Source organism: Homo sapiens, chromosome 9 (genome assembly GCF_000001405.40).
Source record: "Homo sapiens chromosome 9, GRCh38.p14 Primary Assembly".
NCBI lineage: Eukaryota > Metazoa > Chordata > Mammalia > Primates > Hominidae > Homo > Homo sapiens.
In genome coordinates this window covers 35,497,257-35,523,842 of record NC_000009.12, presented here as the reverse complement: position 1 = coordinate 35,523,842, position 26,586 = coordinate 35,497,257, and the positions used below count along the sequence as shown (strand labels likewise).

The following is a 26,586-nucleotide window of genomic DNA, read 5'->3' as shown; positions in this document are numbered from 1 at the left end:
AATTTTTATTTTTTTTTTTTAATTTTTTGAGATGGAGTCTCCCTCTGTTGCCCAGGCTGGAATGCAGTGGCCCTATCTTGGCTCACTGCAACCTCCACTTCCTGGACTCAAGCCATCCTTCCACCTCAGCCTCCTGAGTAGCTGGGACTACAGGCATGCACCACCATGCCTGGCTAATTTTTGTATTTTTTGTAGAGACAAGGTTTCACCATGTTGCCCAGGCTGGTCTCAAACTCCTGGGCTCAAGGATCCAGCCACCTCAGCCTCCCAAAGTGACAGGATTATAGGCATGAGCCACCACGCCCAGCCACTATTTGGCTTTTTTTTTCATTGTGAAGACCTTTATTGCTGTGTATGAATTTTTAAAAGCTAACTACTTATTTTGGAATAATTTACAGTTATAAAAAGTTGCAAAGATAGTTCAGAGTTCCTGTACCTCTTTTAACCAGTTTCCCTAATGTTACCATCTTACGTAATCAAGGTACATTTGTTAAAACAAAGCAATTAACATTGAGTACATTACAATTAACTGAACTGGCAGACTTTATTTGAATGTGGCTGCTTTTTTCACTTATGTCCTGTTATTTAGCTTTATAAAAAACATTATAATTTTATAAAACATATAAGCTAATTAAAAACAAAGCCACCCTCACAAAAGATATGCAGATGTATAATGCAGGCTGCAGATAAACAGTTTAGATGTTGTTAATAAGTATAGCTTAGCAGAGAAAAGTTTTGCATTTCCCACAATCAAGACAATGAGTAGTTTTGGGAACTGTCCAAGAAGGTAATTTTTAGCAAAAGTAAGCAGTACTAATCAATAGACAGGACTATATGATTTTAGTATACCTCTATGCCTGGTCTTCCCAATAATCACTCTGCTGACCTTTCACCTCAGTACACCAGGGACAGAGGTGGATTGAAATCATACAAATCTTTGGAAATCAACAGAAGGTACTTTTGTTTGTGCTGACTTACTGGGTATCCTCTCCAACAGCGACAACCTCAGTTAAGGTAATTCCTTTTGGCTAAGTTTTCACCTCAGACTGCATGATTGATTCCAGTAGCAAAGGTCAGAAATGCTCAAACCATAACAAATCAAAATAAATTATTACATACTGTACTCTATTCTCTGATCTAGAATTATCCTGAGGCTATCAATTAATATCATCTTGTGAGCCAATTAATCAAGCAAGCAATCAAGCCACAAGCATCTACTGTATTCTTCCTGTGTATAAGGAGCTATGCTGGATGTTCAGGGGTAATAGCCCAATTTGAGGGGCTCATAATTTTGTTAAAATAATTGCCAATATGCCTCTGGAGGCCAGAACAGCAAAAAGAAAGTTTCAGGGTGTAAGGGTTAGAGCAATGCTTTTAATTTTTCAGCCCCAATACATAAAACAGCTACCCTGGTTGAAGCAGAGGAGGCCTAATGCCCCATGCACTCCAATTCCCTCTCCTTACTGTGGGGGGCCCCAGAGGCACCTCCAGGGAACCCTAGGCAAAGGCAGAACTGACCATAGTTTGTTGGGAGTTAGAGATATGGGGAGTGAAATAATTAACTGACAGAAACATCTCTCTTTTTTCATGCCTCCCAAATCAAATGTTTGTAAACAGATGTTGATTAACTTCACCAATAGCAAACCTAACTTCCCAGAACAGAAATAAACTTTGTACACGAATTTGGAAAGTCAGCTACCCTCCACCCTTGCCATGAGATTAGATGGAGGCTCTGAGTTTCCTATAGGACAAGTACTTCTCTGTGAAATGTGTGAGAGAGGCTCAAAGAATTTGGAGATTTCAGAACTGGTGGTAACAGTGATTCCTGTGGGTGTCTAGGACTGAACTGTAAAGAGAGAATAAACAAGTTCTTAGATGCTGAGAGCACCTGGCTATGGCATCAGGAGTCTGATTCCATAAATGGAATAGCAGCCAATGCCCAGGAGGTCATCTGTCTTTCCTCCAAGTAGAGTGTAGCTGCTGCTAGCTGAGGAGGCCACTGTTTCTAACTCGTATCATGTTATTTTGGACTCCAAGTGAGGCCAGACGGCATGCTGGGAGTGTGTTGAAAGGGCCTAGCCTGAAGGGCTGTCCCAGACACACCAGTTGCTGCCTTATTAGGCTTCCTTAATATAGAGTCCTCTTTCGAAGCACAGAACTTGGTTTGCTTTTGGCTTCTCACATATGTTGTAGAAAAGTTCAGCTAAACGTCCACCCCCAAAAGTCAAAGACAAACATTCCAGAAGAGGCTTGGCTCTGAAGTAGAATGGGCTTAGCAGCCTAAAAGGTAAAAGACCCCAGGCGCCCAAGGCTCCAATTCAGTAAATGGAGACTGCAGCATTGGGAAAGTATACCCAGGAAAAGAATAAGCTAGAGCCATTGAACCTCACTGAGCTGAAAGAGTTGCTTTTCTTTATTCCATTAAAATCTGATGATAATAAACCTAGCTTTGCCCCTAGGGTCTCTATGCTCAAAAGGGATTCAATCTAGAAAACAAAAAATTATTTTCTTCTGCTGATCCAGCCAGCAAAAGTATACACCTTTCTCCATTAGGCCAACCATTTGATTCCCTCCTTAGCTCAACTTGTAGCACCTGTTTGGAAGCAGCGGGCTCAATCAGATGACCTCTTAAGGTCCTTTTCAGGTCTAATTATAACCTAAGCCAAATTAAAACCTGGAGCCCAAGGGAAGGTTCCTATGCAGTGTGTTAAAAAAAATGACCTCCTGCATTCCAACATGAATACAAATACACATAAACACACCTATACTCCCAGGTGCCTGGCTTCTAACTGCTAGCTGTAAGTCTCTAGAGACTGGGAATTTGTTGTAAACCCTATTTCTTTTGAGGATGTATTAGGGGGAGAGAGGAAGACTATAGGGAATAAGGAAAGATTTGGTTCCTACCTTGACAGACCGAGTTCTTCAGATGAGGTGATGGAGAGAGCAGCAGTGAGTAAGGCCCACAGGCTAAAGTCTCTCAATGCTAGGTGTAGGTGAGCAGCAAGGGAGCAGGAAGCCACCAAGACCAGAGACAGTGTACGAGGGGTGGATGCTGAAAGCCCCAGCACAGACTGCTTTGCTTGGAGGATGGCCCTCAAGTGTGTATTTGCAGGAGAAAGTTAGCTGGAACAAAAAAGGCCCCTATGCTGCTCTTTGACTGCTCAGTGTGGTCAGTCCTTTGGCTGTGTGGGCAGCCCTCTGGCTATTCCTTTTAGCTCCTGGGCTTCAGGAAGCAAAAATCAAAGTGTACTCTGCTCCCCCACCCCACAGGCAGTGGACTGAAGCACACAGACTAGGAAGCTGCTATCCAATCAGAATGCCCAAAGCTGTAAATAAAAGGCCACATACGCACAGTAAAGTAGGCTATGAGAAGAATCTAGATTGAATTACAGAAGCCAGTTGTGGGGCCAGGGTGGAGGAGGTTGGAAAAAGAGAGGGGTGGGGGAAGCCTAGTTGTCCTTCAAGGAATCTTTTTATTCAAGTACACCCCTCCCTCAGCATGACTGCCAGAACCATCAAAGCCTTGTTCCCCTGGGGAACCAGGTTCCAATCTGGCCATGTTCTCTACAGAGGAGTCATGGTCTGAGACTCCTCAGGCAGAGTCAAAGCCTTTCTCTGGGAGGCATCTCATCTTCCAGGAGGCTTGCCCTGCTAGTCTCTGGAGTCCAGCTCACCATGGACAGTAAGAGCACTGGGACTGGCTCACTCGCAGGTGGCAGCAAAAACCATTTCTGTGTACCAGTAACTATTGCTTTAGTTGTAAGACTAAAGTGAGAGTAACTTATATATTTTTGTTTACTTAAGCCCCCACATTTAAAAAGCAGGTAGCTGAAGCCTGGCCTGGGTCCTGAGTATTCAGCAGCCTAGGTTCTATAATGATTCACAACATGGATTTTGGTGTTAAGACAAGTCTGGGTCCAACTCTGACACATTACTTGCCAGCTGTGGAATTCTGGGTGGTCACTCAACCTCACTAAAACTTCAGCTTCCTCATTTGTAAAACTGTCATATTTTCCCTGAAAAGCTTGAAGTAAAAATAAGTAAGATATTGTACATAAAGTACCCAACACATGGTAGGTGCTTAGTAATAAGTCATTATTATTATTATATCTTTGGCAGATGACCAGTGGAGCTCTTTCCTCTCTCCTGTCCCAATTTCCCAGAAAATCTAAAGTCTTCAGGTCAGGGAAGTGGCAGGCAAAATCTCTTTAAAAGAGCCAAAGGAAATGGAAGGGTCACATTCCTTTTTTTCCTCCCCCACACTAGGACTGAATCAGTCATCCTGTCTGTGGCCATCATACTCTAGGCTGGTAGGCTGGCCCTGGGAGCCTCAAGGCTCTCCAAAACCAAAGATACTAATCCACCGCCAGTGTTACCTGTTGTAGGGCATGCTCCTAGACTGATGGTGCTTCTCCTGGGGCCCCAGATCATATTCCAGTAGGTGAAGGGGAGAGAGTGTGATCCCAAGTTGGCAGGATAGGTTTTGTCCAGGCTGTTGTCTGACCATCACAGCTGCCTGTGAGGCCTATGGGTTAATAATAGCAACTCTGATGCCAATGGATTAAGACAGAACTGTAGGAGGTGTTTATTTTTACGCTCTGGCGTCAGTATCAAGTTCTACTGGTTACTGCCCAAATCTAGGGCAGCTTCCTGCTCCAGGAGTGGCCTCAGGCTTCTCCAGGTTACTAAGTTGGATTCTACGGGAAGCAAGTCTTGTTGAAAACAGTTCAGCATTAAACAGGACAGGGAAGACGAAGGGGAACAAACAGAGCTTTCATATGTCCAGCTGTCTAGTGCCAAACCTCTGGGACCAGATGGACCTCAAGTTGAAAGCTGTTGCTTATAGTACTCTCTTGAGTCAGGTAGGCCCTGTTGTTCTGGACAGGGTACACACATACACACACACAAATTGGCTGCATTGAAATCATCTGAATAAAAACAAAGAAAGACTGCCACTCAACTACCCAGAAGCTCAGCCTTATCAGTCATAAGTCCCAGACTAGGGCACTGAGTGCTGACATTGTAAAGAAAAAGAAAAAGCCTGTTTGGGAGGGTTTTATAGGAATTTGAGACAGAGGATGGGTTAGGCCAGTCCTCAACCGATCTGTATAGTTTTTAGCACGTACATCAAATTCCTTGAAAATCTGCCACCAGAGATTTTTTCCTAGACATGACACACTAGGATAGAAATCTTGTTGGGCCAGGAGCTGTGCCTAGATAATCTCCTGAAAGCTTCTTCATCCCTGCAAGACCTAGAGACTGGGGTCCTAGGGACTTTATACTTTGACTACAGTATCTGGAACTCTGTGGATATCCTGCTAACCTCCCTGAAAGGCAGCTCCTGCCAGAGTGTCTACTTGCCCCATCAGGCAGACAGGAGCATGAGGAGGCTGACAGCTGGAAAGCTGATGTAAATAGATGTAGACTAGCTTACTCTGGAGCCAGGAGCACAGCAGACTGCTGTGGAATGACAAAAATGTACCACACACCAGGTAGGAATGCTGAAGTGCAAACAAAACAGCCGAGCAGCCAAGCACACAGGAACAGTGACTCTGTCATCTTCCTGCAATCCTAGGTCATCATCAGTGACACGACATGTTAATACCTTAAGAAGTCAGGGTGCTGGCAAGAAGACAGGCTGGTGAGGGACTCATTTAATACATTTTTTCCCTGTCATTCAAGGATGATCCACTTGGTCATCAGAACAACAGTGCAGCCTTAGAAACAACCAGATTTGATCACTAGTGATAAAGGAGTTTGATCTTAGCTCCATCTGGAAACTACCCATGCCTAGGATAGTGGCAGGATGCCCAAAGACAGGAACACTGCTTTCATTCTTGGGTTTTCCTCCAACTTGCTGGGTCATCTGGGGCAGAGTACCTGTTCTCTCAAAGCTCCATATTTACCATCTAGTAAAAGGACTAACTGTATCCATCTTCTGGTGTGTGGTAGGAAAAAATATTTGAAAAATAAAAAGAATAAGGGAAATGTAAATGCTGTAGTCTTTAGACTAAAGTATTTCAGAAATATCATGGTCATCCACGCATGCAGGCAGAGCGCCCTGGCCTTCTCCTGTGTCCTCCCTCTTCTAGGGTCACAGTGGCCACATTAGGAAATAGGCCCAGTCTGTGCCCAGAGATGCAGTGCCCTTCTTTCAGGCCTATAATCCCCACCTCTGGTTTGAGGAACAGACGAAATAGGAATATGCTTACCTAGACATAAGGTATTAATTTCCACTAACTTATAATAAGGAATTTAGAAATACATAAGCAAAAGAAACAATTTCACTTACTCCCTTGTCTATCTAGCAGCCACAAAGCTAATTCTCCCCTGTTTGTGGGCCCAGGACACTGATCTGGGGCCTGTATCCCACTGATGTGGCATTCAGCAGCAGGACTCACTGGAACATAGCCTAAAAGGCCTGAGAGAGCAACATTAATGAGGGATGTATTCTACTGCTCAGTCAGAACAAAGGCGATACTGTATTCTAAACCTAACACAAGCCTTCAGTCTTTCTAGCCCAGCGATCCCTGAGTATTGGGTTAGTTTGCCAGGTCTCTGGAACTCCCGAAGAGAACTAGAAATCTATTCTTTGTTGATGGTGACACCTACTTTTTCTGTAAGTCTCTACCCTGGGATTCAAAACAGATGTTCAAACCTCCTGCAGCCTCTGGTGAGACCCACTTCCTTTCAGAGAAGAGGCCTCAAAATCAGGGATCAGCAAACTCTTTCTGTAAATATTTCAGCTTTGTGGGCCATATAGTACTGCCACATCTTTTTAAAATTTTTTTCTTGTAAATTTACAATTTATAATTGTATGTATCTATGGATCACGAAGTGATACTATGATTTATGAATATCATGTGGAATAATTAAATTAAGCTAATTAACATATCCATTGCCTCAAATACTTACCTTCTTTTGGTGAGAATATTTGAAATTTACTTTCTTAGCAATTCCCTTTTAAAAAAACAAACAACAACTCTTTAAAAATGTAAAAGCCATTCTCAGCTTATGAATGAAAACACCCTGGCAGGGACCATAATTTGCTGATTGACTCCTACTCTAGACCTTAAAGGCCTCTCTATGCAAGGTCTGTATCTTAGAATTCTGACCCTGGTGGGCCTGCCTAGAGATCCTCTTTCCACAGGGCTGACACGGTTCTCAGAGGCAACTCCCCTCTGAGGAGTCACTGAGGAATGTGAAGGAAGAATCCTGAGGTTATTTGTATTGGAGCTGACAGACTGGCTAATTTCCCTCACATAAAACACTTCAAAACCATCTATAGAATTTAGCTTATTGCATTATCATTCTGGAGTGTAGAATGAACCATAAACCATCTTTATCTTTCTGTTTCTGCTTAATACTATCCCATACCCCTACAAGGCCTTTTTTTTTCTTTCCCCCAAGTTCCAAATCCACACTTGAATTGGCTCAGGCCTGAACTCACTCCCCATTCTATATGTGGTATGGCTGTGGATAGCAAGGAAACTATCAATAGACAGATGGATTTGGACACAGTAAATATGGATGAGAGGCATGGGGGTAGGGGTGAGCAAAAATTTAGGGCTGACTTTAATCTGGGCACCATCACAAATAGTTACAGGTTCTGTAAACAGGTGGCAAACTGCTATAGAAGCATCCTAAGAATGATATAGAAATGGTTAGGAATCTTTGTAGTTATACCTCCCCACACACCAGAAGCTAGAGGAAACAAATGACTTATTGCTAAAGAGTAATTCTTCTAATATTATTAGCAATTATTTATTATCTACTATGTTACTCACCATGCTAGATGTTTGTCATAAGCGCATTTCTCTTTTTTTTTTTTTTTTTTTTTTTTGAGACAAGAATCTCGCTGTGTCGCTCAGGCTGGAATGTGGTGGCGCAATCTCGGCTCACTACAACCTCTGCCTCCCAGGTTCAAGTGATTCTTGTGCCTCAGCTACCCAAGTAGCTGAGATTAGAGGTGCGCGCCACCATGCCCAGCTAATTTTTGAATTTTTAGTAGAGATGGAGTTTCCCCATGTTGGCCAGGCTGTTCCCAACTTCCTGGCCTCAAGTGATCCTCCCACCTCAGCCTCCCAAAGTGTCGGAATTATAGGTGTGAACCACTGTGTCTGGCCCATAAGTGCATTTCTAATCCTCATGATAACCGTGCAAAGTAGATATTATTATCTCTATTTTACAGTTGAGGAAACTGAGGATCTTGCAGAGATAAACTTTATCTAAGATCACAGACCCAGAAAGTAGAGAAGTTGGGCTTGCAATTTTTGTCTGACTCAATCTAAAGCCCTTGCTCTTTCTACTATAATATACAGCTAATATCCTTGATAGAGAAAAACAATAAGCAAATCCCTTAATTTGGGTCTTGTTTGACTTTGTTTCAAATAGCAGCAATCGATGATGTTAGCTGTGGGCTTGAAAAAAAAAATAGCAGCAATCTGTTGGTCTGCCTTTTTCTATACTCTGAATATTAATGAATGACAAGGTACTAAAAATCACAAGTATGACACTTTTACATGGTAGTGATTCAGGTCAAATGCATACAGCTGTATTCCTACCAAAGCTGGAGACATACATGAGCTAACACTTGTTTACTCTTTACAAGAAAACGGGATTTTTAATGTTAAATCTTTGCCTCGTAGCCAAATAAGTCTCTTTTCAACAGTGGTATATGTGTATCTTTGTGTGAGCTGTTATTTTGTAAACAATTTAGCTGAATTAAATTAGTTCCCCACTTTTCCAGGTCCCAGATTATTAGTTGCCAATCAAATATTTATTCTCCCTTTATCTTTCAAATTAACAGAACCCTGATATTCGGCTAGGTACAATGCTACCCAAGTAAAATTCCACATTTCTCCCTCCCCTGCAAGTAGGGGTGGCCATTTGACCGAGTTATGGTGGAATTGTTGTGTGCAACTTCTGGGTAGTCTCTTTATGATGAACAGGGTGCAACCTTCTTCATCTCTTCCTCCATCCTGCTGCTAGGAAGGTAGCTGTGATGACTAGAACTATAGTAGGTCATCTTGTGCCATAAGGATGGCCTAGAGATAGCCGAGCAAAAAACTGGAAAGGGTGTGGGTCTCTAATGACTGTGGAGCTGCCATACTAGCCCAGGACCATCTATCTCTGTACTTCCGTTGCTGATGAGAGAAAAAAACCTCCATCTTATTTAAGTCACCAGTGTTGGGTTTCTGTTACTCATATCTATTGCTACTTTATACATCCTACCACATTCTCCATCCCTACTGCTACTAAAGAGCAACCTATATTTATCACTTATCTAAGTTCCTACATCAACCTCTAACCTGGTTTCCCTTCCTAGAATCATCTTAATAGACATCAAATGAAGTCTATTTATATCACTTTCATGCTTAAAAACCCTTCGAAGGCTTTCCATAAAATCCAAATTCCCTAAAGGTATATGCTAGCCTTGATAAATCACCTCTTCACTCTCATCTTTTGCCCTGTAGTCATACTATCAACTCGGATCAGCTCGGTACTGATTGGAACACTGCCCCTCCATTTGTCTAACTCCTAATCATCCTTTAGGTTTTTAGCTAAAATATTCCAAATCCAATGGCCCTTCCCAGGCTACTGGTTGTATTTTCTCAAAGCACCTTGCACTTCTCTATATTGTGTTTTATACTTGTTTATTTGGCTTCTAACACTAGACAGCAAGTTTCATGGGGCAGGAACCCTGTCTACCATTATTTGTTGGTGTATACTCAGAACCTAGCAGTGTCTGGGATGCATAGATTAATATTTTCAAATGAATTAATGAAATTTTCAAGAGAGCAGCCAAGCAGTATGTAGCAAAATTTGAAATAAGCATACTCTCTAGTCTATTTCTATAAAAACGTATTTAAAAGAAATAACATTATAAAGACACATAAAGTAATATATATATATATATATATATATATATATATATATGTTTGTTGAAGCACTATTTACAAAAGCAAAAAAATACTATTTAAAACAATTTTTTATAGAGACAGGGTCTTGCTATGTTGCCCACACTGGTCTCAAACTCCTGGGCTCAAGTGATCCTCCTGCCTTGGCCTCTCAAATTGCTGGGATTACAGGCATGAGCCACTGCACCTGGCCAAAATTTAAAAATATTTTTAAAATCCCCTCAGTAATGAATTGGTTAAATAAATCATGATGCAATCCATGCAATGAAGTATTCTACAAAACACAAAAAGATGTGTCAGAATTGTTGTCAAGATGAAACTATGCTCATGATACAGTTTTTTTTTCTTTTAAATAAGCAATTTACAAAGTACAACTCTCAGGTTGGGTGCAGTGGCTCATGCCTGTAATCCTAGCACTTGGAGAGGCTGAGGCAGGTGGATCACTTGAGGTCAGGAGTTCAAGACCAGTCTGGCCAACATGGCGAAACCCCATCTCTACTAAAAATATGAAAATTAGCTTGGCATGGTGGCACGTGTCTGTAATCCCAGCTGCTCGGGAGGCTGAGGCATGAGAATCACTTGAACCCAGGAGGCGGAGGTTGCAGTGAGCCGAGATCGTACCATTGTACTCCAGCCTGGAAAATCTCTTCAGGTATAACTCTTCTTTTACAAGTGAGACTCTGTCTCAAGCAACAACAACAACAACAACAACAACAACAACAACAACAACAAAACAAAGTATAATTCTCAAGTCCAAAATCCATGGTTGAAAACCTAAGAATGGCTGCTCTTTCAGTTCCCTTTGATTTGTGCTTCTGCTTCTTAGCAGTCATCATCATCGTCATCCTAGTAGTAGTAGCAATTAATATTTATAGTCATTAGTGAGTACCTCACTGCCAGACATTATAACTGCATGTGCATCATCTCATTTAATGCTGACAAAACTATACAAGGAGGGAACTGTTAGGGTGATGTGAAATGGTCAATATGCATTTTTTTTAACCTGCAAAAATGCCCATTTCATAAGGTTAAACTTAATGTTATTATTTCCCAGGGGCCCAGAGGTTTTACAAAAATTGTCCATGTTTTTATAATTGGGGAGTGGCTGAGCTGAGTTTCATACCCAGGTGTGTTTGGTACCACAGTAACTGTGCTCTTTTGCTTGATGTATAAAAGAGGGACGGGAGGAGGAAGGAAAAACAAAACAAAACAGAAAACAAAGTATAACTCATGGTATGATCCCATTTTTATTTAAAAAAAATGCATACACATCTTCTTTTTGATCATCTGTATTTTCTGGCAATAAGTGGGATGATGGGACTCTTTTGGGCCATCTGGGATCCTCACAGGCCTGAAAGCCTGGACCTCATGAAACATCAGCACAGGAGACATGAGGGACTACCCACTTACAGCCTCAAAGAGAACAGCTACCTGTACTGGGAGAACAGGTATCTAATGAGTGCCCACTAAATGCCTAATACCTTAATTCAGAGAAGAAATAAAAGCTACAGGCATGCATAGGGCAAATTATAATTCATTGAGAAAGCTAAATGTTGTTTTAAAAGATTCAAATTATATTCAAAGTTCTAAAATGCCTTATATTAGCTTGAGAAAATTATGAAAATAAAAACAAAAAATTAGATGAAAATATTCTTGAAACTTGTGCTTGCCCCTTTCATGAGAAACTTGTAAAAGAAGAGTTATACCTGAAGAGATTTTCCTATTTTTTTTTTCTTTTTTTGAGATGGAAGTCTCGTTCTGTCGCCCAGGCTGGAGTGCAGTGGCGCGATCTTGGCTCACTGCAACCTCCGCCTCCCGGGTTCATGCCATTCTCCTGCCTCATCCTCCCGAGTAGCTGGGACTACAGGCGCCAGCCACCACGCCCAGCTAATCTTTTGTATTTTTTAGTAGAGACGGGGTTTCACCTTGTTAGCCAGGATGGTCTCAATCTCCTGACCTCATGATCCGCCTGCCTCGGCCTCCCAAAGTGCTAAGATTACAGGCGTGAGCCACCGCGCCCGGCCGAGATTTTCCTATATTTTTATCTTGAATTAGCACATTAGTTTACAGGTAGATAACATAAACCTGATATATATCTTTTAGGAGAGTTAAAAATAGAAGAATTACAAAAAGCACTAAGGATTATAAAGCAAGAAAGTATATTATAACCATTTATATACACTTTCTATTTCCTTCTTGATTGCATGCTAAGGACAGAGGCTATCTTCATCTTTGTAGTCACTGAACCTAGCCTAAAGTCTGGCATGGGGTAGATGATTAAAATGTTTACTGAGTTGAACTAAGTTCGAGGAACTGAAATCTTCACCAAATAAACTGGAAACATTTCTTCAGAGCAGAATTTGGCTCATTACAGATGTGGACATATTTACACATACTTAGTTCTAGTCCTCCTTTTTGGGATGTGGGGTACTGAAATGGATCTAGGGAATCCAGTGATGGGCTTCTGGAATATGCAGGGGGAGTATCCTTGCGACAGCTCCTCTCTTCATACCATACTCATACTCAAGTATGAGTTTCCTTCATATCTGGCAATGCGCTCCCTCTACTGCCAGTGGGAGCCACAGCAGGGGACCAAGAACAGCAGGTTCCAGACAGAATGACAGACATCCTGCCCTCCTTTTCTCCCCCTTTAACCTCACAGTCTTCAACTCTGTCCTATTAGCTGCTTCCAATAGGGACTGCTGAGTAGCTAGGAAAGAATGCAGGATATGTTTCAAAAGTCCAGCACTAGCTGAGGGCAGTGCTATAAAGTTACACTAAAAAGGGCAGTCTATAAAGTTACATAAGACCCAGCTCTGCTCGCTGGGAGCTTTTCCAACTCCATCTGAAGAGACTCCTCAAGCTGTTTGGAGTTTCAGGAAAAGTGTTTGGAATTTCCTGCTTGGCCAACCTATACTGGAGCTATCTCTGGGTAGATGTTGGGAGGTTCCAGCAGAAAAAGTAGTAACTCTGTGCTCCCATTGTCGGCTGCTTCCCCACTGGGTTCAGTGGGGACAGCAAATAGCATAGTCCATTTATAGTCAAAATCTCAGAATAAGAACAAGCCCTTTGCCAAAAACACAGCCCATCTGGCATCAAGCCCTAGGGGCCCACCCAAAGGAGGCAGGACCTGGGAAATCTAACAGCCCAACCCAGTAATACACAACAGTGCTCTAGAAGAGTTTCCTTCTCTGCTTTGGGCAAACGTTTGAAGGAATCTGCGGCCCTGAGAACCTTAAATGCCAAAGTCTCACCCAAGGACTAAAGGAATTACTCAATAAATCTTAACTGAGTACCTCCAAAGTGCCAGACACTGTAGTGTGTGAAAGAAAAAAACCTGATGCCTGCCTTCATGGAGTTTATAGTTCACCCAGGGAGACTAAACAAATAAATAACTATGACTGTATACTCGATTAAGTAGGCCTTTGGAATGTGCTGCATTCAAAGGAAAGATAGTTAAATCATGAAAGCCAGCTCCATCCAGGGAGGCCAATTAGCATATTTATTAATCAGGGTCCAGTTTACACTGTATTGGCAATTAAAATTATCTGTTTTCTCTTTAAAAATTTTTATTGTAGAGACGGGGTCTCACTATGTTGGCAAAGCTGGTCTTGAACTCCCGGGCTCAAGCAATCCTCCCACCTCGGCCTCCCAAAGTTCTGGAATTACAGGTGTGAGCCACCATATGCCCAGCCAATTACTTATGCCTGAATTGAAAACTCTTGAAAAGTCACCGGAATCTATCAATAACATACTCTTGGTTAAGCTCCACTTTTATTCCCATTCATTTTGTGGGAATTCAGTACCTATTTTTATATTACATATTTTTATTTAAGGCATAGGAACTCACTTCAATTAACAAACTACTGTCCATTACACTGGAGAAATAGAACCCTGATTTGCTCTTTTCAGCATCAGGCCATTCATTTTTGTTTCTTTCTGGTCAATGTAAAGAGCTAAGAAAAGGTAGGTATAGAACTCTGCTCTTCAGGACTAATTCTGTAGCAGCTGGCAAGTTATTTGATTCCCCTCAGCCTCTGTTTCATTTTAAAATGGGGATAATACCTTCCTACAGGGTGGTGGTAGGAGTTACAGAGAAGATATATAAGACATCTAGGACAGGGACTGGTATTTAGGCAGGGCTCAATAAATGACAACTATAATAAATGTGAATCAGGAATCTCCTCTTTTCTTTAACCTGAATCCCTCCTATTGCCTTTTTGAGACTGTACTACCGTTCAATTTACCAGTTTACAACAGGGAACCATGTCATGGTCATAGCCAGTGTTTTCTTTTCAATAGGAATACTACCTCAAATTCTTTAACTTTTCTTCACGGCTTTGTTCTTTGTCCCCCTGTAAGTTGTAAAGTAAAGCAGCTCTAACCTAGGCAACATCTCGGGAAAATATATAGAAAGGAGGTTAGAGTGAATTTATGTTAACTGTAAATCAAGAATTTCCTGCCCAATGAACACGGGTAGGTACAGGTCTACTTGAATTGCTCACTGTCACCAGAACACAGTAGAAGCAAGTCTTCCATGTAAACTCATGGGCTGACAAGATTCTCCTTAAAAGATCTAATTATTTCCAGACATGTACACCATGTGACCCTCCCTAAGTTCCACAGCTTCTGCTTTAGAAAAGTTTCTCTGGACAAGGTGGTGTGCCTCCGGGGCTCAAGTGATCCTCCTGCCTCAGCATCCTGAGTAGCTGGGACTACAGGTATGCACCATCACACTTGGCTAATTTTTAATTTTTTTTTGAAGAGACGAGGGTCTTGAACTCTTAGCTTCAAGTGATCCGGCCTTAGCCTCCCAAAGTGCTGAGATTATAGGTGAGAGCCACTGTGCCCAGCCTCATTCTGATTCTGATTCCTGATATTTTTCTAACTTTTTTTTTTAAAGACTAATTTAGGAATTTCTCTATATCCTTGGTTTTCCAAATTTTCAAGATGAAGGACCCTGGGATAAGTTATGTTGGTGCTATTTGTTATGCTGGGTGCTGAGTGGACTCTTTCAATTTGTAGACTCATATTCTTCAGTTCTGGGAAATGTACTTGTATTCTTTCTGTCTTTTCCTTTTGTTTTTGTCCCCACTGATGTGAAAGATTAAGAAAAGAGGTTAAATGATGGAATAACATACCTGAGAAGCTGTAGTGGCTCCAGAATTTCGCTATAGGTTGATTTTAGGAGCAGCAAACAGATTAAAAGGGATAGGTGGGAATGGAGTAGCATCAGGGAATTGTCATAAAGTTCCATTTGTATAGCAATGACAGTGTTTGTACTTGGAATATAGGTTTATTTGGGATAGCTTAAAGAGTATACCATTTTGGTATGATATTCTCTGCATATGGATGACGACAATCTCAGAGTGGCTTAAACAACAGAGGAAATTCATTGTCACACATATCAAGAAGACCAGAGGCACAGTGACTGCCAGGTTAGTGAATTCAGAGGTTCAACATGTCATTTAAATCTGCCATCCTTAGGTCAGAGCATGGCTCCAGTAGTCATCTCAAACATTACACTGAGATATGTTCACATTCACAGGCATGTGTGGAGGAAGGTGGATATCTAAACAAACTGTTACGCTTCAAAGGAGGAATAGAGAAGTCATTGCTGAGTAAGCAACCAATTGTGATCAAGTAGGAGGGTATGCAATCCAGAGCGCCAGGGAGGGATTACTTAGCTTTTGTTAGGAGGTGGAATATTTCCTCCAACTAGAGAGGAGAGGATGGCTGTAGACACGTTTGCAGATTGGTGGTAGGAAGTAAGAGAGCTCACATATGATGGCTTCCTTTTTCCTTCTGAGGTATGAGTCAAGACTACCAACAGCATAGGGAAGGAAACAGGGAGGGTGAGAGGTAGAAGAGAGTAATGAAGGGATGAAACATTTGTTGCAAAGAGTAGAGTAGGATACTTGTTAGAGAAATATAGTAAGACTGCTGCCAATATTAACTTCGGTAATGATGAATTTATTTTTAAATTTTTTGGAACATAAACTCAAGATTTTATTGTCTTCATAACAAAACAAAAGATGACACTTAAAACTGGATCACTTGGCCTTTTCACTTATCTCCTCCCAGTTCAAAGTGCTTGCATCTCTTAATAGCCACATTTTCTCAGATCTGAAATTGAGCTCAACACACTCAAGCCTTAGCACAATCTTCTCTGTAGTTTTAGCTTTTTTCTGGAAAATCGGCTTACTCTGCCCACCATAGCCACTGTGCTTCCTGTCATAATGCTGCTTTCCCTAGACACACAGAGAATCCTTGCCCTTCTTGGACTATGTCACTTTGTGGAGTTGGTGCTTGTGATACTTCTTACAGAAAGTCTGGTGGGTTTGGGGAACATTCACCATGTTCGCTGGAGTGCTGTCAGCTGGTAATGATGAATTTAGAGTGATGCTAAATATGCTGGCCTGTACAACTTTCTCCAGCAAAGCTGAGCTATTTGAGTACAGACATGGAGAAGGTAAGGGGTTATATTCATTCAGGGTTGGGGTTTTATCAGGCAAGTATACTTTTAAAAGAATGTAGTATCAGTGAAGTTTTATTGAAGTTAAAGGACTACTAGTGAGGATGCTTCAACAAGTGAATGGAATTCACTAAGCTATAAATCATAAAATCTATGTGGCAACATGGATAAATGCTTAGGAACTAAATTAAAGCAGAATATAAAATAATCTTAATGCTACAATTACATCCATGCAAAATTTATATATGCATGTAAACAGAAAGCATAGGAAAGTGGGATTATAGGTGATTTAAATTTATTTTGTGATTATTCTTATTTTTATTTTTTTCTTGAGATAGGGTCTCCCTCTGTTGCCCAGGCCAGAGTGCAGTGGTATAATCACAGCTCACTGCAGCCTCACCCTCCTAGGCTCAAATGATCCTCCCACCTCGCCTCCCAAGTAGCTGGGACTACAGGTGTGCACCACCACACCCAGATAATTTTTAAATTTTTTTTGTAGAGACGAGGTTTCACTATGTTGCTCAGGCTAGTCTCGAAACCCTAAGCTTAAATGATCCTCCTGCCTTGGGCTCCCAAAGTTCTAGCATTGATTACAGGTGTGAGCCACCATGCCTGGCCCATTTTTATATATTTATTTTGATTTTTAAAATTCCTACTTAGATGCTTTAGATCATGTTCAGCTTGGATCACAGATTTTTTTGTATGAGCTTTATCTAGTCAACCAGTCAGCACTGACCACTCTGTCTTCTGTACTTCTTTAAAACTTGTTCATAGGGCTAAAATCATACTCATCCTGGGTGCCAGGCTATAATCTCTGTGAATGTTACTAAATTAATCAGATCTTTTGTGAAAGCAAAGCAACCTAAGAAATGTAACAGATTTGCTGAGCTAGGCTTAATGTCAGTTCAAACCCTGTAATTCATTCATTCATTCTCTATTCATTCTACCAATATTTACTGAGCTTATACCATTTGTCAGGCGTTGTGTTAGGCACCAGAAATGCATAGTGGAAAATAAAGCCTATCACGAATTGTGGGGAAGGGGGACAGGAAGATCTTAGGCTCAAGCCTGATACTTACAAAGGACTTCAAATTTAGCTCTTCATCCTTACATTCAAAGTTATAAGTATATTTTTAAATTAACAGCTTTATTAACATGTAATTCAGATAGTATAAAATTCACCTTTTTAATGTATACAATTCAGTGGTTTTTAGTGTGTTCACAGTTATGCAACTCTGACCACAATCTAACTTTGAAATATTTTCATCACTCCTAAAAGCAAGCCCGTCCCCATTGATTTTGTATCCCACAATCTTACTGAACTAGTTTATTAGTTATGATAGTTTTTATGGATTCCTTAAGATTTCTATATACAAGACCATATCATCTGCATATAGCAATAGTTATATTTCTTCCTTTCCAATCTGGATACCTTTTATTTTTCTTGCCTAATTGTTATGACTAGAATTTCCAGAACAATATTGAATAGAAGTGTTGAGAATGAACATCCTCCTTTTATTCCTGATCTTAGAGAGAAAGTTTTCAATCTTTCACCTTAAGAATGATGTTAGCTGTGGGTTTTTTGTAGATGCCCTTTGTCAGGTTGAGGAAGTTAGATGCTATTCCTAGTTGAGTGTTTTTATCATAAACTTGTCAAATGTGTTTTCTGCATCCACTGAGATGATTATGTTGTTTCTGTCCTAAGTACAATCATTACAGTATTAAAATTAATTTGTTAAGGCAAATATTTAAAATATACTAAAATTATTATAATAGTGGTTTGGATTTCAATCATTTTCAATATATGAAGAATTTCATATATTAAATGAAAGAGGTCAATTTCTCTCTAGATCTCTGAGAGACCCTGGATTCAAAGACTCTATTCTTGTCCTCATGGAGTTTATGGTTATATAAAATAATTTGTTAATTGTTATAATGGAGCTCCAGACAAGGTCAAATGAAGGCATAGTGGAAATCATACCCAAGTTTGCATGAGGTAATCAAGAAAAGTTTCAGGAGGGTCAAATGACTGAACTGTTAGAGGAGGAGTAGAAATATGTGGTGGGGTCGGGGACTAAGGAAGGGATCTCAGTTAGAGAAAACCATGTGCATACAAAGAGTTCCTCAGAAAGATCTGAGCTCCACAGTCCCAGACTCAAGACATAGACTCCCAGTGCATTTGCTGAAAGGAGTAATGAAATTACAAAAGAAAACTAAAGACTTAACCATATAGATATTATGAAATTCTGTATGTCAAAAATCACAAACAAAATTAAAAGGCAAGCAAATATTTGTTATAACAAAAGGCATATAGGCATATATCTTTAATGTGTAAAGAACTTGTGTGAATAACTAAAGACTAAGATTTAAAAAAAATTGTGGTGAAAACACATAAGATCTAACTTCATAACAACTGTTTAAGTGTACAGCACATATTGTTAACTAACTATAAGCATAGCATTGTACAGCAGATCTCTAGAACTTATTCAGCTTGTATAACTGAAACTTTATACCCATGAAGGAGCAAATCCCCATTCGCCCCCAAACCCCACCCCAGGCCTTGGCCACCACCATTCCTTCTATTTTTGCTTCTATGATTTTAACTATTTTTGATAACTAATACAAGTGGAATCATGCCATATTTGTCCTGTGACTTTCTTATTTCACTTAAAACTAAGATCTTGGCTGGGTATGGTGGCTCATGCCTATAATTCCAGCACTTCAGGAGAATGAGGCAGGTGGATCACTTGAGGTCAGGGATTTAAAACCAGTCTGGCCAACGTGGTGAAACCCTGTCTCTACTAAAAATACAAAATTAGCTGGGCGTGGTGGCGCACACCTGTAATACCAGCTACTTGGGAGGCTGAGGCAGGAGAATCGCTTGAACCTGGGAGGCAGAGATTGCGGTGAGCCGAGATTGTGCCATTGCACTCCAGCCTGGGCAACAAGAGCGAAACTCCGTCTCAAAAAAAAAAAAAGAAAAAAAACCCAAAAAACTAAGATCTTAATAGAAAATTGCCAGGATATGAACAAACATTTCAGAGAAGAGGAAACAAAATATACTTAATGAACATACAAAAAGTTTGAACTTTAAAACAATAAATTACCACCTTTTGGCTACCAATTATCAGACAAAATAATAATAGTTAATTCTGGTGAAGGCAAGTACAACAGGCATTTTCATTCATTGCCAGTGTATGTATATTTTGGTACAATCTTAATAATGAGCTCGGAAAAATATATATCTCAAGTCTTAAAACTATTCAAATCATTTAACTCAGTAACTCCACCTCTAGAATTCTATGCTAAGGAAATTATCAGAGATGTGGACAAAGATTTTTGCATAAAGTTAATAATTAAAAAGTATTAAAATGGCCAGGAGCGGTGGCTCACGCCTGTAAACCTAACACTTTGGCAGGCCGAGGCGGGCAGATCACTTGAGGCCAGGAGTTTGAGACCACCCTGGGCGACATGGTAAAACCCTGTCTCTACTAAAAACACAAAAATTAGCTGGGCATAGTGGCATGCACCTATAATCCCAGCTACTCAGGTGGCTGAGTCAGGAGAATTGCTTGAACCTGGGAGGTGGAGGTTGCAGTGAGCCAACATCATGCCACTACACTCCAGCCTGGATGACAGAGTGAAACTCTGTCTCAAAAAAGAAAAAAAAAATAATAATAGATGTTGTTGCTGTGGATGTGGTGAAAAGGGAACACTTATACACTGCTATTGGGAATGTAAACTGGTACAACCACTATGGAAAACAGTATGGCGATTCCTTAAAGAACTGAAAGTACAACTACCATTTGACCCAGCAATCCCACTACTGGGTATCTACCCAAAGGAAAAGAAGTCACTATATGAAAAAGACACATGTACACACGTTTATAGCAGCACGATTGGCAATTGCAAAAATATGGAACCAACCTACATGCCCATCAACCAAGTGGATAAAGAAAATGTGGTATATATACACCACGCAATACTACTCAGCCATAAAATGGAATAAAATAACGGCTTTTTTAGCAACTTGGATGGAGCTGGAGGCCACTATTCTAAGTGAAGTAACTCGGGAATGGAAAACCAAATATCTTATGTTCTCACTCATAGTAGGAGCTAAACTATGAAGATTCAAAGGCGTAAGAATGATATAATAGACTTTGGGGACTAGAGGAGTAACGGCGGGGGTGGTGGTGAGGGATAAAAGACAATATTTGGGCATAGTGTACACTGCTCAGGTGATGGGTGCACCAAAATCTCAGAAGTCACCACTAAAGAACTTATCTGGCTGGGTGCGGTGGCTCACGCCTGTAATCCCTGCACTTTGGGAAGCTAAGGCGGGTGTATTACCTGAGGACAGGAGTTCGAGACCAGCCTGGCCAACATGATGAAACCCTATCTCTACTAAAAATACAAAACATTAGTTGGCCATGGTGTTGCATGCCTGTAATCCCAGCTACTCAGGAGGCTAAGGCAGGAGAATCGCTTGAACCTGGGAGGCAGAGGTTGCAGTGAAATGAGAGTGCACCACTGCACTTCAGACTGGGCAGCAAGAGCAAAACTCCGTCTCAAAAAAACAAAAACAAAAAACAAAAACAAAAAAACTTATCTAAGTTACCAAAAAAACCACCTGTGTCCCAAAAACTATTGAAAAATTTTTAAAAGTACTATAAAACCACAAATGTCCATTTGGGGTAAGCAAGTTATGGCTCATTCAAACATAGATTTCTTATACAACTGCTAAAATTTTGGCCTCTAAGAACTGTTCAATGATATCTTTTCATTTTATACTTGTCTTTTGTAGATTCTCTACAGTGAGCATATATTTCATCTATATTCAGAAAAAGAATTTTTTTCAGAAAATGTTTTTAAACAAAAAAAATTTTTTAACTTTCAAGGGAAAATGTACACTTTTAATCTTTCTCCATAAAAAGGAACTTCAGTTTAAGGATTTTCGAGGTTAAAGTCTGGACAGCTAAAAGTATTTCCTTAGAACTCTTCTTCACAATCCCTTAATCTTGAGGGAGTGAGAGATTTATAAACCTAATCTCTAGAGGAAGAAAACCCATGGTGATATATCCCACACTCTTAGACAGTGGCACTATTTGACTTTCAATTTTTGGGTCTGGTGCACCAGGGCTTTTTCTTAGGGGGTGGGGTTTGGGGAAAGCCTTTACATTTTGAGAACCACTAAGTAAGAGGCTGAGAACAGAGTTTAGATCTAAGAGTCATGCTACTCAAAGTGTGGTCTGCAGATCAGCAGAATCAGCTTCATGTGTGAACTTATTAAGCACAGATAAATACTTGGGCCCCATGCCAGATGTACTGAATCAGAATTTCAGGGGTGATCCGGGTGATTTTTTTTTCCATCAAGTTTGAGAAGCACATGTGTAGAAGTATTGGACAAAGAGACCAACAGTACTCAAAGGGAAAGAGGTGCAGAGCCCTCAATGTTCAGTGTATATTTTTTAGAAGTATAAACATTATTAAATATTCTAAAAACAACTATTGTTTTCATATTATAAACTAGAAAGCATGGCTAGAAAAAATATCTTGACTCAGGACTAGAGTGGATTAAAAAAACTAGCATAGGTCCTAAACTAAAGGAGGAAAAAAGGATCTATAATTCATTTCTGGTTCCATGAAACTCATTAAATTAATTAAGGCTAAGGATTTCACATAGGAATTTGGAGACTGTATGTATGCAGCACATATTTTGGTTACATGTCTCTCGAACCATGGTTGGCTGCTACTGGTGCATGGTCAGTTGAAGACTATATATATCCCAAACCCAACCATTTATCTTTATCTCTTTCTACCTTGGAGTCATAACTCAGTAGAAGAAATATCTGTATCAGTGACATTTCTTTTGAGATGGAGCCTCACTCTGTCACCCAGGCAGGAGTTCAGTGGCACGATCTTGGCTCACTGCAACCTCTGCCTCCCAGGCTCAAGCAATTCTTGTGCCTCAGCCTCGGGAGCAGCTGGAACTATAGGTGCCCCCCACCATGCCTGGCTAATTTTTTTATTTTTGGTAGAGACAGGGTTTTCCCATGTTGCCAAGGCTGGTTTCAAACTCCTGAGCTCAGGCAATTCACCTTACTTGGCCTCCCAAAGTGCTGGGATTCCAGGTGTGAGCCACTGCACCCGGCCTGTATCAGTGACTTCTGAACTATTCTTTACAGAGCTCCTTCAGGGGACTTTGAAAAGGAAGTGAAGGGGATGTAGATGAAAAGAGGGAAACCTGAACAGGTTAGACTACTTCTCCCAACTCCATGCATTCAACCAAAACAGCCCAACTTTTATCTTTCTGAGTCCCTTTCCTGTAGAATATATTTGAACAAAAGTCTGTTTTAAAAAAAGTTTGAAATTCTTTATTCTCTACTATAGATTCTCACAGGCCAATAAAAAGCCACAGCTGTCTTTTTTTCCTCATAAGATAAATGCTCCTTGTTAGCTATTCATCACCACCACTTGGTTGTTAGAAAGGACTCACAAATGTATAATGAGGCAGGTGATCCTGCTTCCAGCCCTCCTTTCTCCAGCCACTATCATTAAGGATGAATAAACTAATACAGTTGCAGGTTGCTGTGTTGGATATCAGGCAAAGAACATTATATAAACTGAAAGAGACACTATGCTATCTAAGAAGTTAACTATAGCTATAAATATAAAACTAAAGAGAGCAATATTTTAAAGAATAGCTCTTGTATGACCAAATAAGATATGTCCTTCAAAGTGGTCACATTGGTTATGAGGGAATAATTGGCAAGAGGAAAGAATTTTTAAAACTCTAAAAAACAAAGTAGCCACCTTGAGAAATTTAACTCATTCCAGTAGTGCTCCTAGTAAAAGCATTCTTAGAACTCTTTTCAGAAGTACAAAAAACCACCAGCCCATCCACAAAATTGTGAAATAAAATCAATTGTTGTTTTAAGTCACTAAGTTTTGGGGTGTTTTGTTATACAGTAATAGATAAGTAAGTGATATGGTCTGGCTATGTTCCCACCCAAATCTCATCTTGAATTCCCATGTGTTGTGAGAGGGACCTGGTGGGAGGTAATTGAATCATGGGGGCAGGTCTTTCCTGTGCTGTTCTTGTGGTTGCAAATAAGTCTCACAAGATCTGATGGTTTTATAAGGGGGTTTCCCTGCACAAGCTCTCTCTCTCTCTTTGCCTGTCATCTATGTAAGATGTGACTTGCTCCTCCTTGCCTTTAAGTCCTTTAAACCTCTTTCTTTTGTAAATTGCCCAGTCTTGGGTATGTCTTTATCAGCAGCATAAAAACAGACTAATACAGTAAGGCAGAAACGTCTGAATCACTAGGCTTTGGGAGATGTTTAAAAGGAAATCATTAGTCTTATAGAAAAACTCTAGCTATCCGGAACTCTAGAAAAATAAGCTGTTCTGTTTGGCTATAACTTTAAATAAATAGAATACAGCCAACTTTAACAAAGTTTGACTGTATCTTTAAACAGAAATAAACAACTTTCAAAAAACAAGTAAAGAACATTTTGGAAGAGAAACAACTTGAGGATGAACGGGACTAGTAGTAGGTTCCCAACTTTCTCCCCTGCAGTTTTTGCTTTTTACCTTGGGTTCATCTAAATCCTATCTATGCTGCCTTTAGGAGAACTTTGCTCTTTTTCTTTTGCCTGGGCGTGGATAAAAATAAATGTCCATTTTCCCTAAGTACACTAAATACAAGGGTGCATTTTCTTTTTTTAAAAAGAATTATACAGGAAAAGAAAGGAAGCACAAAGTATAAAAACAGATAAATTAAATACAGATTTTTTTGGATCCTAAGATAAACAAGTTAAGTATAGACTTTTGATCCTAAGATAATTAAACTTTAGCCAGAAGTTGGCTGGCCCTATTTTTCTTTCCACCCAGTTATCAGTCTATTGTCCTTGTCTGCAGGAACTCACACAAGAAGCCAAAAATACAACACATACCTCAGAGTTTACCATCTCATTTTCTTGAAGATAAAAGACTTTTATTAAACCAACAATTCCAAGGAACAGAGGGTTTCTTCCTAAAGTATCAAAATTAATTTTTTAAAAACTTTAAGTGTTTTGGCAGAACTTTTTAAAATGTATTATGTAGGCTATAATTTAACTTTTCTTGATGACTCACTACTATTTTGTTTTTTGTTTTTGTTTTTGAGAGTTTCACTCTGTCGCCCAGGCTGGAGCACAGTGACACAATCTCAACTCACTACAGCCTCTGCCTCCTGGGTTCAAGCAATTCCTGTGCCTCAGCCTCCCAAGTAGCTGGGATTACATGTGCATGCCACCACGCTTGGCTAATTTTTGTATTTTTAGTAGAGCTGGGCTTTTACCATGTTGCCCAGGCTGGTCTTGAACTCCTGGCCTCAAGTGATCTGCCTGCCTCAGCCTCCCAAAGTGCTGGGATTACAGGCATAAGCCGCCACGCCTGGCCTCACTACTGTTAACATTAATAATATACCAGGCTAAAATAATGTTGTTTTCAGTGTCTATTAAGGACTTGCATACCAAATCAACAATCCCATAAGGATTGTGTGTTAAGAGAAATGGTTCACTTTTGCCATTTCTTTTTTCTTTTTTTGTTTTTTTTTTTTTGAGATGTAGTCTCACTCTGTCGCCAGGCGATCTCGGCTCACTGCAACCTCTGCCTCCTGGGTTCAAGTGATTCCCCTGCCTTAGCCTCCTGAGTAGCTGGGACTACAGGCACGCACCACCACACCCGGCTAATTTTTTTTTTGAATTTTAGTAGACATGGGGTTTCACCATGTTGGCCAGGATGGTCTTGATCTCCTGACCTCGTGATCCACCCACCTCGGCCTCCTAAAGAGCTGGGATCACAGGCGTGAGCCACCGCGCCTGGCCTCTTTTTCTTTCTTTTTTTGAGACAGAGTCTTGCTCTGTCTCCCAGGCTTGAGTGCAGTGGCATGATCTCAGCTCAGTGGCATGATCTTGGCTCACTGCAACCTCTGCCTCCCGGGGTCAAGCAATTCTCCTGCCTCAGCTACCCAAGTAGCTGGGATTACAGGCAGGCGCCAAGATGCCTGACTAATTTTTGTATTTTTAATAGAGACAGGGTTTCGCCATTTTGGCCGGGCTGGTCTCAAACTCCTGATCTCACGTGATCTGCCTGCCTCAGCCTCCCAAAGTGCTGAGATTACAGGCATGAGCCACCAAACCTGGCATTCTTTTGCCATTTCTATTTAACAGTCCTGGAATTCCTACCTGAGTAATTAGGTAAGAAAAAGAAATAAAAGGCATACAAATTGGGAAAAAAAAAAAACCAAAACTAAAATTATCTCTGTTCCAAGGTTACACGATCTTGTATGGAGAACACCCTAAAGATGCCACAAAAACATTAGAACTAATAATGATTAGTTGCAAATACCCTAAGCATTTTTTAGTGTCAGCAATGATGCAGGGTACAAAATCAACACATAAAAACCAGCTTTTTTATTTAATTAGCTGAGAATATAGGCAAAGTTGTTCTACTGTCCTGTAGTACATGTATAATTTTCCTATGGCAGTTACAACAAAAGATAGGAGAAACAAAGTTCCGTCTAAGTGTGACAGATGTAGATACATATCTTTCACAATGTTCCACAGGGACAGAGAAGTGATAAATCCTGCACCAAAGGAGTGAAAGGAGGAGACTGAATCTGCATGCCCAATGATCTCATGTTTAATAGCCTCTACATCTACTAATGGGCCCACTGCCAATGCAAGAGGGTCAGTTAAGTGGACATGAGTGTGCATATCATTAATAATATCAATGTCTTTAATGTCTGCAGTTAATGTTTTAATCACCCTAGGTCTGGAGATCTTCTTGGGGTATAATGAAGATCTTGTTGTCCTAAGATAGCTTCCCACAGATGTGTTTATTAGGATATACAATCTGCTGCCGACTTCAGGAGAAGTAGCATATAGTATTCGGATATATGGCTGGTAATACATAATTGTGATGTTCTTATACATGGCCAGGGGATACAGAGTTGTTGACCCATGGAACAAATTCTACCCAAATGGGTTTGCAACACCAAAACAAAACAGTTCTCCAGTTTACTAACCCAATTAAGTTCTTTTCATCCACAACAGCTCAACAAATGGGGTCATATCAGTAAGGGGTTGTACAGTAAAGATCTGCAAGAAAAGACTGAATGTTGCTTCTCAGTGATGGCTGCACTA

The 26,586-nt window shown here is 40.4% G+C and overlaps 1 protein-coding gene and 1 pseudogene across 5 annotated transcripts in view; both read right to left on the bottom strand.

Moving 5' to 3' along the window:
* The window catches only part of RUSC2 (RUN and SH3 domain containing 2), a 71,785-nt gene that overhangs the window by 38,053 nt on the left and 7,146 nt on the right, over nt 1-26,586 (bottom strand). Inside the window, exon 1 of one of the 5 annotated variants that reach the window (XM_047424208.1) lies at nt 4,377-4,520. The exons of the other annotated variants lie outside the window; for them this stretch is intronic. The gene's annotated coding sequence lies outside the window, so the exon portion shown is untranslated. Of the gene's footprint in view, nt 1-4,376; nt 4,521-26,586 lie in introns of those variants that run through there. 5 annotated transcript variants of the gene reach the window in all.
* RPL36AP33 (ribosomal protein L36a pseudogene 33) lies at nt 15,912-16,309 on the bottom strand (annotated as a pseudogene).